The 16,974-nt window shown below is 35.5% G+C and overlaps 1 long non-coding RNA gene across 1 annotated transcript; it reads left to right on the top strand.

Annotated features, from left to right (window-relative positions):
• The first annotated feature begins 4,793 nt into the window (after window positions 1–4,793).
• Window positions 4,794–13,060, top strand: LINC01930 (long intergenic non-protein coding RNA 1930). The gene is made up of 2 exons (NR_146275.1): window positions 4,794–4,961; window positions 12,365–13,060. It is a non-coding gene; the product is annotated as a long intergenic non-protein coding RNA 1930 (long non-coding RNA).
• The last annotated feature ends 3,914 nt before the right edge of the window (window positions 13,061–16,974 follow it).

Raw genomic sequence — 16,974 nt, 5'->3', positions numbered from 1 at the left:
GATTTTAAAAGAATTTCCATACTTTATAATATAGATTCTAATGTATACAAACCTAAAAATAAATACAGACTTTGCATTTTAGAAACATTCACCATGCTTCTTATTTGATTCATTCTTTACTCAGTTGAAGTTTGTGGCTACGTATTTCTTCTCTTTTTTTCGTTTTCTTTTCTTTCTTTTTTTTCCTTTTTTCCTTTTTTCTTTCTTTCTTTTTCTTTTTCTTTTTTTTTTTGAAACAGAGTCTTACGCTGTCACCTAGGCTGGAGTGCAGTGGCACGATCGAGGCTCATTGCAATCACGCCTCTCAGGATCAAGTGATTCTTGCGCCTCAGACTCCGGAGTAGCTGGGACCCCAGGTACGCGCCACCATGCCCGGCTAATTTTTTTTTTTTATTTTTAGTAGAGATAGGGTTTCACCATGTTGGCCAGGTTGGTTTCATACTCCTGAGCTCAAGCAATCTGCTCGCTTCGGCCTTCCAAAGAGCTGGCATTACACGCATGAGCCACTGTGGTTGGTCATGGCTACATATTTCAATGGGAAATGAATTACCTGTAATCCAGTGATATGACATAACACTACAAATCACAGAAGCACATACAACATCAATTCTGGCCATAGAAAATGCCTGAAGTAGTTATCATATGCCACTAAAGCACAGATCAGCACTGAGACCAATTCATGAAATTTAAGCACTAAGCCCTCTAAAACACTTTACCTAATTTGGAAAGACTTCCCCCAATTTCAGTAAAGTTTTATAGAACAATATATCCAAGTTACATGTTAGAAGGAATCCAAACCCAGCTCATCCTCCTAGAAATATAAATTGAACAGACCTTATGGATCTGCTTTTCTCGCACTAACTCTGGCCATAACTGTTTACTAGGCACTGTGTCAGACCATTAGATAATATATTTGTGTATAAACAAATTATTTGTTTACAAAGCCTATAGTGGTAGTAAATCCCAGCAAGATATTTTTCTCTTAGTTCTTGTGATACAGTCTATGCAACTGCAAATAACAATATGAAGTACATTGACATAAGATACTCTAAAAGAAATTTAGGGCTAAAATAAGAATTGGGGAGGATTTTTTCATTTTCTTTTTCATCCTGACTCAATTATTTCTTTAGTACCCAACTGATTTTTTTTCTTAAAAATCTTTTCTCCTCACAAGGAAATACAGCTAAGTACATAAGATAATGCTCTGCTATTTACTCTCTTGGCAGAATATTAAAAATCATGCTCAGAATAAAAAATCGAAAAGAGAAAAACACATATAAACATATACATTCACAAAAATATTGCTAAGGAAAGTCGTTATAAAATGTTCTTCAGGATATCAAAGGTCATGCATGTAAAAACCATACATCTCTTTATTTAATATATCATGGATGAACTCAGGGGATCATCAAAGTTATTTGAGTAAATGATTCGATATTTGGTCAAGAAAATTTGATATTATTATGACATCATGTGAAAACATTTGACTAAACTGCAAAATAAGTGTACTTACTGCCATTTATTTCATTATTTTACACTTGAAAATATAAAATGTGAACTAAAAAAAATCTCTTTTGAATACTGGAGAAAGCTACTGAAAATACTGGATGTCAGGAAGTCTTTTAAAGATTTTGTCTAATCTTTCCCTCTTCTACTATGAATTGCTGCCAAATTCATAATTCTAAAACATGACCTAACCATGTAATTTCCTTGTTATCTTTGAGTAATTTCATAAAAATCCTTTTCACCATCCAGTGTGATTATAAACCAAATCCTGTGTACCCTTCTAAGATGGCGGCTTCCTCCACTAGAATGTTTTTGTTGTTCTTTTATGCCTGGCTCATTCCGACCCTTTCCTTCCGATCAGTTCCTGAAACTGAGTGTGTTGCATCTTCCTTGTATCACACAGCAAGTCCAAATTTCTCCCTTGCTTGACTTATTGTAATAATTGGAAATTATTCCTTGAAAGATTGCATGTCATGATACCAGTAACACCCAGTAAATTAATATGTTCCCAAAGTTCATTGATAAGTTACTTGTTGGAAGTTGAAGAATTCATTTGCCTAAAAAATGCTAAGTATAATTAATATTCCAGCCATATTTTGGATAATCTGAAATGTAGCTGAAACATATTACTGATAAAAACATAATTTCCAAAATTCTTATGAAAAGATGTATACCTGTAATCTCAGCACTTTGGGAGGCCGAGGTGGGTGGATCATCAGGTCAAGAGATAGAGACCATCCTAGCCAACATCATGGACCCCCCCACCGTCTCTACTAAAAAAAAAGAAAAAAGAAAAAACCCACAAAAATTAGCTGGGCGTGGTGGCATGCACCTGTACTCCCAGCTACTCCGGAGGCTGAGGCAGGAGAATCACTTGAACCCAGGAGGCAGAGGTTGCAGTGAGCCGAGATCATGCCACTGCACTCCAGCCTGGCGACAGAGAGAGACTTCGTCTAAAAAAAAAAGAAAGAAAGAAAAAAAGAAAAGATGTAGTACACCATAATCCAGCTCAACAACTGGAAGTCAAACGTTCATCACTCCTTCATTTTCTATTTTTTTGTGCTTCCTTGTCAAATTATGTAGTGCTGGATATATAGCAGGTGCCATGGTTTTTTTATTGCTTCAAAACTAAATTCTCAAACTTACTGGCTTGAAACAACAACTATTTAATTTGTTTACAATTTTGCAGTCTGTGCTGGACTCAGCAACTGATTCTTCTGCTTGTCTTGCTGCTGGTCACTTCTGTGGGTGAATTCAATTGGTAACTCTGCGGTGGGCAGGTCGGGAAGTTGAGAGAGCTAGGCATCTTTCTTTTTCCATGTAGTCACAGGTTCTCTCATTCTGCTTGGTGCTTCTCACATGCCCTTTCCAGAAGCATAGCTGTATTTCTGCCTGGAGGCTCAGAGCTCCTATGAGTGCAAAAGTGAAAACTTCCAGACCTTTTAAAGCTTGGTCCTGGAACTGGCACTCTGACATGTTCTTTTGATTAAGCATGTCATTGGTCCAGCCCAGATTCGATGGGAAAGAATTATACAAGGGGATGAATACCAGGAAACTTGTTCACTGGGGGCCATGAACGGAACAGACTGCCAGAAGGCTTAATCACTACTTACTGAGTTGGCTGCGAGAAATATAGAACAATGTATTCTATTCTTTAATTGTTGGGGGAAAATGAATTTAGCATTTTGGTAACATGCAAAAATCAACTAAATGGAAATTAAACACTTTGGTATGTACAGAGTGTGACTTGGGTTTTTTGGTTTTTTTTTTTTTTTTTTTTTTTTGAAAAAGTTCCACTTCACCACAATATCCTACCAATGGGAATTAAATTAAGAAATTTTCATTTTTTCTGTGTTAATTCCTGGTTTATAATGCTGAATAATACTTTAGAATACTATCCCACATACTTGGAATAAGGATGCAAAGCACTTGCTACTTTCTCCTAACCAAATATTTGATTTTATGTTAGCCTCAATTTCATAATTTTATGAGACCTCAGAAAGCAATTCATTAGCATCACAAAGAAAAATAATTAGTCAAAGCATCCCAAATAATGAGCTTGCCAGGTTAATGTTTAAAGATACCACAATTACTTGTTATTTTTTAACCACAATGCAAATGTTAGTCCTAACAGCTTATAATGAATAACTTCAGAGTAAAGTGGGAACTTTAACACCTCCTTCAAATTCCACCCTGTCCGTACCTTTATAGGAAAAAAAAGTGTGCTGGTTAGCATCTTTTGACTGCAAAGGCCACTCAGTAAGGTAATCTAAATAATGTTAGATAGTCAGGATGAAGATGCAAAATATAAATAAAAACAACAGTCTCAAAGACTGTGACATTTATAGGTCTCAGAGATTATTTAAGTCTCAAAATATTTCTAGGAAGCAGATCTTATCAGTCCCAGAAAGTTGTCAGTTAACCACTATTTCCTTTCCATACTTGTTTTTTCACTTGCAAATTTTGAACTCTACCTTCTATCTTTTCTGTCTTTCAGTTTCTGTTGACTCCTACATTTGTCTATTAATTTCATCTGGGATGTTCGGTGACATTAGGAATAGAACATTTCTTAATTGTGCAAGACTCTTTCACACACTGCACAATATTGATTCATCCTCAGACACTAAATGCTTGTGGCACACATGGTCATTGTGACACCTGAAAGTACCCCAGCACCTTGTCATCTCCCCTAGAAGGTGCAATAATCATTTGCACTCAGGGAAGAATAACATAGAACAACATGAGTTTTCTGTTTCCTCTCTGGCTAACAACTAGCTAGCTATCATTGTTTGTAACAGATGAGAGTTCACAAATATTGGTTGTTTTAGATGATTACATTTATTTGATTGACTAAAAATTAAGAGAACATAATCTTAACACATAATCCAGTAATAGTGCTTCTAGGTGCTTACCAAACTGATTTGAAAACTTATGAACATACAGAAACCTGCATGTGAAGCACATGATCATTAGTCATTAGAGAAATGCAAATCAAAATCTTAATGAGATATCAAATCACACCCATTACATGGCTATAATAAAAAAGATGGACAATAACAAGTGTTAGTGAGGAGGTGGCAAAATTGCAACTCTCAAACATTGCTGGAGGGAATCTAAAATAGTACTGCTGCTTTCAAAAATAGTTGGGGAACTCCTCAAAGAGTTAAGCAAAGAGTTACCATATGACCCAGCAATTACAGTGATAGATATATATCCATGAGAAATGAAAATATATGTTTATGCAAAAATGTGTACATAAATGATTATAGCAGCATTATTCTTAATAGCCAAAAGTGGAAACAATTCAAATGTCCAACAACTGACGAAAAGATGAAGTGTGGTATATCCATATAATGGAATAATATGCAGACATAAAGTGGAATGATTGACACATGTTTACAACATGGATGAACCTTGACAACGCTGTGTTAAGTTAAAGAAGCCAGACACAAAAGGTAATGTATCATTTGATTCCATTTGTAGGAAATGTCCAGATAGGCAAAGCTATAGAGACAGAAAGTAGATTAGTGGGTCGGAGGCAAGGGAGAATGGGAAATAATTGTTGGGTACATGGTTTTGGGTGCTGAAAATATTCTTGAATTAGATGGTGGTGATGGCTGCACAATACTGTGAATGTACTAAGAAACACTGAAATATATATTTAAAAATACATTTTAAAAAGATGAATCTTATGGTATGCAAATTATATCTAAATTAAAAAAATTAAATGATAAAGCTGCAAAGCAAATCTGCACGAGTTTTTAGAAGTCTTATATATAATAGGCAAAAACTGAAAGCAACCAAGATGTCTTTTGGTAGGTGAAAGGTTAAACAAACTGTTGTCTATCCAAACAATAGAATACTCTTTAGTGATAAGAAGGAAGGAGCTATCAAGTTATGCAAAAATATGCATGAAACTTACATGCATGTTAGTAAGTGAAAGCAGTTAGTCTGAAAGGCTACATAACTTACAGTTCAATGTATATGACATTTGGAAAGGGCAAAACTATAGATTCAGTGAACAGACCGGTGGTTGCCAAGGGTTCCAGGAGAGGGCAGGTTTAAATAGAAAAAATACAGCGGATATTTTGGGCAAGAAACTTTTCTGTATGCTATTATAATGGTGCATACATATTAAATGGTATGGCATACATATTAAATGGTGCATACATATTAAATGGTGCATATATATTAAATGCAATTTAATTTGACAATTAAATTGTCAAAACCCATAGAACTTTATAGCACCAACAGTAAAGCTTAACACATGTAAATTAAAACAAAATCATATAGGAGATTAAGAAATCCCATGATGGAAGGCAACGTGTGACAGAAGAATCTAACTCTACTACAAGTGGATGAAATAACCTCACTGAAGAAAGTAGGGAGAAAGGTACTGATGGAAGCAACTCCAGAAGTTTGTGGAGTCCACAAAGCTAGTGACAAAAGACATGGTACCTAAGCAATGTAGTATAGTTGACAAAGTTGTTTCCCGCAGGGTTATGGCTTAACAATTCTGACACTACCATACATATACACTGGAACTGAAGAATTAAGTAAATGGATGGTGGAAGCCAGGTTTCTCACTGTTGGAGTGGGAAGTTACAAAAACACTAGGGGTGGTTAGAATGATCAATGTAGCAATGGGTTAAAGTTAGAGACATTAGTATGAACTCATGTTTAATTTAGCACATTATTTAATTTCCTCTATATATTACAGCAGATTACGGAAATATTTACAGATAAATGTGCATACAAGGGTTAGTATACATAAATTTGTTTTTGCTCTGTCAGCTGAGAAGACCTAGAAAAATGACACTCCAATAGCAATAAGCACACCTAGTGCCCAGATCTTTGTTTCTAATGTACATTTCTCCAATTGAAGGAAGCAAGTTACCTGGGAAAATGGTTGATTCCAAAACTGAGGCTAGGAATATACAAGATAAGCTTGGGGCATATTGTAGTGCCAAAAAGTAAGGAAGTGTTAAAACACACATACACACACAGAGACACAAACACAGACACATAATGATGAGTGAAGGAGGCATATCAAAGGGACACTGGAGCCAAATGAAAAAGCTCTCAATGTCAAATGCTGGAAAAATTTGAGCAACAATAAAAAAAAAAGTAGTGTGGATTATAACTCAAAGTATAAAAAAAATCCATCAGTCCATATTAATATAAATAAATAATTGAATAAGTAAATAAATAGGGGAGAATAAACAGAGCTTTCATGCAGAATTCCAAATAATCTATGTAGGTACTTGGCTATAAGGAGGGGGAGCATAACTTCCCATCCTCTGTCCCTACTACCTATCCAAACCCTACCTTTTTTTCAAAGCACAAATCAAACTCTACTTATTTTATATTATTCTCCAATCTGGTCACTCCTCCCTACCACCACTGATCTTTCTTATTATTATTTTTTCTTTTTTTGAGACAGAGTCTGACTCTGTCACCCAAGCTGGACTACAATGGCATGATCTTGGCTCACTGCAACCTCCACCTCCTGGGTTCAGGTGATTCTCCTGCCTCAGCCTCCCGAGTAGCTGGGATTACAGGCACGCACCACCACACCCAGCTAAATTTTTTCTATTTTTAGTGGAGACAGGGTTTTGCCATGTTGTCTAGGCTGGTCTTGAACTCCTGAGCTCAGGGAATCCACCCGTCTTGGCCTCCCTAACTGCTAGGATTACAGGCATGAGCCACTGCGCCCCGCTGATCTTTCTTATTTCTAATGATTATATGTGGTCTTCTCATAAGGGACTTCATTCTAAAAAATACACTATGAAAAGAAATAGAAGAAGAGAGTAATTTTACAGTGGAGAAACCTGACAAACAATATCTCAGCCAGGTGAACAAATTTAATATCAACAGTGATAAGTCATATTGCTAGCACACACTTGTATTATGATGGGATAAAAATGGAAGTTTCCTTCTGAAGTCTTCATCCTAAAAATCTTTAGCCAATCTAATCATTAAGAAATACCAGACAAATCTAATTAAGGGATTCTACAAAATATCTGACTAGTACTACTCAAAGGTCATCAAAAACAAGGACAATCTGAGAAACTGCCACAGTGAAAAGGAACCTAAAGAGACATGTCCAGTAAATGTAGTATGGTACACTGGTGGGATCCTGCACGAGTGAAAACTATTAGGTAAAAGCCAAGGAAACCTGAGTAAGGTAGGAACTTAGTTAATGATAATGGACTAACATTGGATCATGAATGTAATATTCGTACCATACTAATGTAAGAAGGTACAATAATGGAAACTGAGTGTGAGATGAATAGGACCTCTCTGTACTATCTTCGAAACTTTTCTCTATATCTAAAACTATTCTAAAATTAAAAGTCTGTTAAAAGTAGAGGGATCGTCTAGGGATTATACACTGTCACTATTAAACTTTACTCTTCCACTGCATTTTCCACTCATTCACTGGTCATTCCACTCTAACATTTTATGATGGCTGTGGCTCCCGTGGAAGATGAACTTCCTCTTTTCCTGGCTTAGTTGTGAGAGACACTCGCCAAGATCCTTGAAACAGCGAAATTGAGTGCTAAGTCTTTACAGGGACCCACAGAGGCTTCTCCTTCTATGAACCTACATATTCAGGGGGCCTCTACTCTGTGGAACTTGTACTTCCTTTTTCTTTTCCTCTCCTTCCCATTTCCCAATCAGGAAACTCTCTCATTAACCCTACCCACTCCAACTGCCTCCCAAAACATAAACCCTCCACTATCCTGGTCCTGTTCTCTCTCATAAAGTGGATTAATGTCTCAAGAAGAAGTGCTTATTGGGTTGCAAAACTATCCACAAAAATGAAAAAATAATCTATTCATCTGTCTTTGCTTGATGGGCAGCATGATTAAAAAATGACTCATTAGAAACACAGTGGCAAGTCTTCCTTCTTGGAAACTGGATGTAGAAAGGGAGGGAATTACATTTACAACTAGTGAGTCACCTTCCTCCAATGACAGACAAAATGGCTCTTCTAAAGCCACAGCTAACCAACAAATGAGCATACAAATAATAATCCCCTATCCCATCACCACCACCTCTAAAATACATTTTAAAAATGTATTTCTGGGAACACCTAAGCCTCCAGGTAAAATACTAAGTTAAGAATATGATTGGGATGCATATTATTAAAGAAGAATTTTGGCTCTGGGATTGCAAATAAACACTGGATAGTCAGGTTTTATTAGATAATATAGTTGCATGGTGCAGAAGATGACCACCTTACCCACAGGAAACCTGAGTAGTTAGTCAGCAGGTTTGGCAATTTCTCCAAGAAAGGACTTATTAGTTTGGTAGGCAGCATTATCTCTTTCAATGTGAACAACAACAACAAATACACACACACACACACACACACACACACACACACACACACACACACATTTACATACACAAACATATATATGTATCTCTTTCATAGAATGATATTTTGATGAAAGGTATGCATTTTTCAACTTTTTTTCCTCATTTTTGCCTCTACTCAGTCAGCGGGATTATAGCTTCAGCTGAGAGTTATTAAAACAGAAGACAAGTTTTAGAAAAGTCAAATTTTAGCCTCTTGATTTCAAAACCTGAAGTTACGGTACATTGTAAGATTTGGGAGAATATGCAATCAGCCAATTTCTACACTTCCTATCCTCCCTATCAAGGGAAAAAAACTAGTCACTACTGGGACTCTGAGAAAAGAATCTGAGCCCTGATGTTTTACATCCCCTTGCCAGCACCCCATCTTTGACACATTCAGAGCAGAATATGAGGCCCACACTGGCACAGCAGCAACTGAGAGAGAACACAACGCTTTGAGAGTCTTTTCTTTAGGAAACAGAAGCTTCTTGTACTCATGCAGATGGACCAGCGAATAGAATGGGTGATGCTCATCTCATCAGTCACCACACTGGAACATGCAAATGACTAGGGCCCAGGTGCCTCACTCTCCTGCCTGAAATATGGGCACTTTGCTACCCCCTAAATTTAGAAGAAACTCTAGGTGAATGGGAGAAGAAGTATTAGATTGGCTGAGATTTTGTTTTGCCACTTGGCTGATTGAGGATTCAAAATAGAAATTAACTTTTATTATAGAACACGTAAGTTATATTTTGAGTGAACCTAAGTCTGAAGTCTAAAGGCTAGTAACTATTACAGATTTATTAACACTTGAAAAAAGGAAGGATGCCTTTCTTTATACCCCGAACTTTGAGAAAACACTGCTAAATATAAAACTGAGGGACATCTATTTAAGAAAGAAATTGAGGAGGGTTAATTACATAAAATATCCCATGTGTTCCTTTACAGTCTGCACACCCCTTACAATTAGGCACTGTAATGCAACTTGTTCTGGCCATTGAACTATGAGTAGAAGTGACATATGTCATTTCTTATTTAAGTATTTTACTTTGAGGTGAGAAATTTCTGCATCTTTATAACCACTTGGACTGAGGAGGCCATATGTTCCTGAAGGTATAATCAAAAGAAATTGCAACCTCTGGCAGCTCAAGTCCCTGTGTATCTGTATAGAGCAGAAGCTTTCTACCAGCCCACATGGGATATGTAACGTGAGCAAGACATACACCTTTGTCGCATTAAGCCTCTGAAATTTCTGGAGTGATTTGTTATTGTAGCATAACCTAGCCTACACATATTAATATTTTAGGGAACATCCAAAATTTAGAATAATATGAATCTACTAAAAATCACATTTCAAGTTAAGTAAAAAAGATAACAAATCAAAATTTCCATAAATTGATATAAATTCAAATGTTGATAGTACAATTATGAGTATTTTGTATTTTCCCCTTTAATGTTTTGTGTTTTATGATTTTATCACATATTCAGAAAAAAATGTGAATGAAAGTGATCACATATTTCTTAAAACTTCATTACTAGAAAACCAGGATGTGTACTGCATACGGTCTTAGGTACTGTAATAGGAGGTAGGAAAAATTTTTCTTTCAATTTTAAACCAAGGGGTTCAAACCTCACATCCCTGAAAGCTACTACCCTAACTCTGTCCTTATTAGTCCTTCGATTCTTCTTTAGGATTGCAACACTGTGGCAATTGAAAATAAAAGGAATAACAAGATCCCACAATTTTATCAGAACATCAAATCAAAGCCACATGCATTTATTTGTTGAACATTTATTCAGTGTACCATGAGGTGTCATGCGATGTCAAGGACGAACAAGAAGTGCATATATCAATTACTGGAATATTACACTCAAAATCTGACCTAGTAACAAAAGACTTAAACAAGCAAGAATTGGTGTACAATAGCATATAAACAGCCTTCCTTTTTTCCACTATATATGATAAAGCACTGAGTTGAATGCACAAACATAATATTTTCTTGCAGCAAATTTGATGTATTGTGACAGAATCTCAGGCTAGGTCTTTAATGTGCCTAACTAGGTAGTGTCTTGGGTCAAGGAACTTAAACTCCTAGAGGCCCATTCTCCTGAACTGTAAAATAAGCATAATAATATCTTCTGGATTGATAATTAAGTATCATATGAGTATGTATAATGTATATCATGCACTTAAAGGAGTGTGTGGCATAACATAATCTCTCAATAAATGGTGGCTATTTTTGTTACTCAGTCTCATCGTTTTACTCATGGGGAAAAAAACATGCAAGTTCAAGGTTGGAAATTACACAAAGGCATAAAGCTAAATTAACTTACAGTATACTTGAAAAATAGTATTAGATGCACCAAGTACCTCAATAAACATATGAAAGTAATATATGTAGGAAATTGGTTGTGAAAGGTAATCGCTATTTAATTATTTTCCAACCAGAATGCACACTTAACACCTAGGTGTTTTGTTTTGTTTTGAGACAGGGTCTTGCTCTATCACCCAGGCTGAAGTGCAGTGGTGATCATAGCTCACTGAAGCCTGGAACTCCTGGGGTTAAACAATTCTCCTGCCTCAGTCTCTCCAGTGGTTAGGAATACAGGCATGCACCACCACACCTGGTTTATTTATTTATTTTTTCTAATTTTTAGTAGAGACAGGTCTCACTATGTTGTCCCAGCTGGTCTTGAATTCCTGGACAATCCTCCCATCTCAGCCTCTCAAAGTGCTGGGATTACAGATGTGAGCTACCATGCCCAGCTGCACTTAACACGTTTTGATCTCGACTAACGCCTGGCACTTTCTATCCACTTTCTCATCCGTCCATTTTATTGTCTCATGTGGGTAGGACTTACTTCCGTATACGTTTTTTGTACCCTTCTTGGCATAGGGTGCTAGTCCAGCAAGTTAGGATAGGTGGTGGCCAAAGATGGATACCAGCACTGCAGGTTGTTAGCAGGTGGTGTTTCTAGGGTGAGCAGCCAGAGATTTCAGGGTGAGGAGCAGGATATGGTTTCATATGATGTGGTTAATTAACTGAGATGAAAGCTGGAAAAAGAAAAAATGAAGAGAGAATAAGGACTGAGGAGTTTCAAAAGAGTTATGGGGACATTGATATTTATTCTTCTGGCTACCACAGTGTCCTCCTACCTACCAATCCTTCCAGCACTATTGACCTTATTACTTAGTTGCACTGGTATTATATCTAATTTCAGGTCGTTGGTACCAACCAAGTTCAGGAATGATAGAAATCTACCAGTAACAGGAATAACTGGGAGAAGTTTCATGGAGAGGGAGAAGGAATGCATTAGATAATTTAAAGGACTAGATTAAGTATAGAGAAAAAAAAATGGAGAGAATCTAGGTGAGTGAGGGCAACAGCATGAGAAAATGAAGATTGGGGGAAAGGAGACTGGCTTGTGCTTGGGGTAACGAAGATACTGCATTAACTTTGTTCTTATTAGTCCTTCTATTCTCCTCTAGGATTGTCAACACTGTGGCAATTGAAAATAACAGGAATAACTGTTTTATGACAAATGGACCTGAACCCTATGAAATGAATTTGCAAGCACTGGCACAGTTAACATATGCTACAAACAACCATCTTCAGACAGTGTAGCGAACCAACTGTGCCAGACTTAAACTGACGACCCTGAGGTGAATCGTTCTATTGCCACAACATTTCTGATCTTCAAGGCTCTCCATGCTCCTAAACTCTTTTCTTTAATATTCTACAGTGTGTTTATTTTCACGGCTATAAAGTCATACTCAGATTTGCAATGATATTTACTACCATATTTCAGAGTGTTTTAACTGATGTTAGTTCAAATCAATTCTGGAGAAACTTTCCAGCCAAGGGAATTGCAAGCTAGCTGGTTGACATTGGAGGTCAAATACTCCAGGGTATGGGTCTCAAATCACTTAATTCTTCACAGCAAATTAGAAACGGGACTCCAGCTGGTGCTAAAGAATAAGACAGACTTGCTGTATAAGGACAAGCTGCTGCTTGGATTTCGAGTCTTTATATTCCTAAAATAAAAAATGTGAGACCCAATTCCCACCCCCCAATCTCATTCTTTCAGAGTAAAAGATTTCTTAACAACAGCAAAAATCTGGCCACCTGATTTCAATACATAAATCTTGCCAAGTTATAAAAATAAAATATGATTTAAACAGCAACCTGTAATCTCCTGTTGACGACCAGCTGTGCCTCCTATTAGTATTAATGGAAGTTACACAGGCATAATAAGAAGGAGGGGAAAATGCCACCTTATGCTTTTTGCACACCTTAACATTTTTATAGCAAGTCTGATTACAAGGGTTTACTTGAGCGGCAATTAAACAATGATTGATTACTCAGTACAATTTGTATTCCAGGCAACATGCAAATGGTAATGAAATTCTCAGATAAGGAATGGAATAAATTCTTCTCACATCAGAGAATCACATCTTTTTAACAGAAAACGTTTTCTTATATGGAGAGAAGAACTTCAGTATAAGTTTCTTAAATAATACATGTTTACCCAAAGACAATAAGCCTTGATTTGGATTTAGAAAGGAATGGTAATGATTTTTGCAAATTGTACTTCCCACTTCACCTTTAGACTACGGCTCTCTTTCCATGATGACAAACTATATGGATGGAAAGTATAATATTCACTCACAAATATATTGACTTCAACTATAGTCACAACTATAAACAATATTTTTCATATTTTGACATTGCAGAAATAATATCTACTTTTAAATTGAAAGTGAAGTGAAAGGTTTATTTATTAAGTGTCTATCATGTGCCAGGCACCATTCTAGGTGTAGGCAACACAGCAAAGAACACACAATACTCATGGTAGAGAAGAAGAAACTGACAATATACAAGTATACAGATATAGATACAAAGTCAGCGTATATAGAATAAAGAAAACGATCGGGAGAAACTGATGGGCATTGATGTGTATATGTACCCATTCATATTCAGGGGAAAATGATGGAAAGGGAAGTCGATGACTTTGCACTTGCTTTTTCCTACTTAAGGAAGATCCTGATCCAACATCATTGAATAGTTGCCTGCTGTGTACCATTTTGATATTCATCCAAGTACAAATAATAGAAAGAGCTTAGAATTAATATGCTGGATAAATAGTAAAGCCACAGTGGCTGACGTGGTATAAGCTGGAGTAAAATGGAGATGACATGAGATCACAGATACACAGAGGTATAGTCATTGTAGGCCAATGTAAGTAATGTGTGCTTTACTTTAATTTTAATGAGAATCCATTGATAGGTTAACAGGGGAGTGTTATGATGTAAATATGTTTTTCAACCATCAATCTAATTGCTGTATGTATGTTATGGGATATAATAGAAATGTGACCTACCTTGAAATCTGCATTTTTCCTGAAGAACTGGCTAATACATTACCATTTTCACTTATTGAAAATTTAACGTAAAAGAGAAATTGCAGTTAATATCTTATAGTCAGGTATGTTTAAAAATAAAAATCAGAAATCGCTCCTGCTTTAAGGTACTATTATCATAAAAGGCAGGGATATGTGAAAGGAAAGAGAAGAAAAAGTTATGATGTCTATAAAAACAAAACATTAGAAAAGACTATTAAGGATCACATTGTCCATCAGGTTGCTTTTTGCAGCTGGGATAAATGGCTGTTTATGTTCTTTGTTCAGATTTCCAGGATAAAGACTTCATATCATCCCTGGTAGTCCACGCTAATATTTTATCTTTGACATAAAGAAGTTATTTTTTATATCCAATTACATTGTCTCAATTTATTAAACCTATTTCATGACCTGATGTCAAAATAGAAAACAACTGCTCACTATTCTGATAAAAACTATTTGAATACAATAATTTATTCAAGCTTAGCCAGCTTTGTCTTCTCTAAGCTAAAGAATCTGAAACTCTTTTATCATTCCCTATTTTTATCACTTTAGTCAAATTTTTCTTATGCCCAGAAAAATCTACTTTAAAGTATGAATTGCTTCTTGTATCAAAGCACATACAAGTTGATTAGAAATTTATGTTCTATGTTTAGCAATTTAGCTTAGTTAAAATGATGAGAGGAAGATGACAAAGTATTTAACACATTATATTTCTGTCAAAATCTGTGATACAACTCATCGCGTAGGCATGGATTTACTATGCGTAACAATTACAACTATACATATTTATTTAGGATGTGGATGATACCTGTAATATATTTAGTCATATATAATAGGTATATACATATGTTTGTTTCGTACTCTAACAAGGAAAAACCATGAAATAGATATTATCATTCTTTAATCAGGATTCTCATAGGTCACAGATTAGACTAGAATAGAACAGCAAAATAGGAAAATTCTGTGAGGGAACACATTACTCTATTTCAAGGCAGACATGTAAAATAGAAGGTATTGAGTGAAGGAGTCCTGGGCAAGAATCCAAGATCTGCCACCCATTAGTCTTGTGAAGATACAGCATTAACATTGTGAAGCCTCGATTTTCTTAATTATATGATAATTAATATACAATGTCTAATAAATTGCTTAGCAAAATAGGAACTCTAAATGTTAGTTCCATGAATAAAACCAAAATAAAATCCATTTGGACGTTTATAAAACCAAAAAAAGCTGTTTATAAAGTATACTGCATTTAAAATAAATAAATAAAATTCACGATATTGTGGTGGTGTTTCAATAACTCCTACCTACCACCCCCAAGAAAGAAATTAGGTATCTGAAACTCCAATACAATACATAAGTGTCAGTTTCTACATTTTTAATTTCAGATTATTGTGGTAATTAAATAAAAGATCATGTGTAATGTCCTGGGCATACAGTAGATGATCAATAAAGTCAGCTATTTTTATTAGCTCTAAGTAAAATTAATGATTAAGCATGCATGGTTCAACAGAGGATGCAACACAGCAATCAATGGTAGTTAAAGCTAGTACAGATGGGAAGGTGGCTCTGTCCATATACTCTAGTCATTCATTACCCAGGAACAACAAGTGTGGGCCAGGAAAATCTTTCCCTAGAACAATAGTGGATGCCAAGATCCTAACCACTCAATACAATCTCCCAGAAAGAAACATTTGGTGGCCTTTAAATAGAAAGTATCATGCCAAAAGAATGTTTTTGGTTCTATACTTTTTAATCTCCAAATTGAAAATAGTTAAATTGAAAAATGTTTCTCATTTTTCTTCTTATTATATTCTTCAGGGGGTCAAAGTTAATCTTGAAATATGTTAATGCTGTTACATCCTAAGGTGCTGCTGGGTTGGAAGATGGGCAAAAAAATTAAAAAATGTATAAAGCCTTTAAGAAACAAACGTGTGTGTGACACAGATGGCTGGAATAAATTATGGGACTCAAAAAGCGGTTCAATTTGCTTAGTTTTAAAATCCATTTGGACATTTATCAAAGTTCACATTGTGAAATGTATTTGTGCTACTTGGAAGAGTGATAGTAATCAGCACCCGCAACACCAACCCCCAGAAAAGAAAAATAAATAAAAAAAGGAAAAATCTATAAGCTCTTTTCATTGAAGCCTAAAACAAGATAGTTGAATTAATGAATCTAGTGATGACTCATTTTAAGCAACAATTGGAAAAAGTATGATGGATGATTTAAAATATACATACAGACATACATGTATATATCTATATATACACAACACATACAATGGCATAAGCACGTAATATATCGGTTCTTCCAAAAGATTGTCAAAATACTTTCAGAATGGTTATTCTGTTTAAGACACAAAGTACCAAATAATCTTTCCCTTAAATTCTGCAAATAAGATGTGAATATTCTTTAAAATTTAATAAAATTTTTAATAAATGGAGAAGAAACTGCTCAGAATATTTGAAACAACAAAACAAATTAAACTATTTGAACATGTTGAAGGAAAGATACAAGGAAATGGGAAATATTTTCAAATTTATTGGAAATACCAAGGTCCTTTGCACAAATGACTGTATTTATCAAATATTGTCAAGTGAGTTGTTAAGACAAGAATGAGAAATGTGTTTCAGAGCAAGCTCTTAGCTTAGAGTTTCTCTGATTGACAAACATGATAAATTTCAATTTTTGAAT

The sequence above is a fragment of the Homo sapiens genome, chromosome 1 (assembly GCF_000001405.40).
Source record: "Homo sapiens chromosome 1, GRCh38.p14 Primary Assembly".
Taxonomy (NCBI): domain Eukaryota; kingdom Metazoa; phylum Chordata; class Mammalia; order Primates; family Hominidae; genus Homo; species Homo sapiens.
Note: the sequence above shows the minus strand (reverse complement) of the source record. Positions and strands in the feature narration are given on the sequence as shown.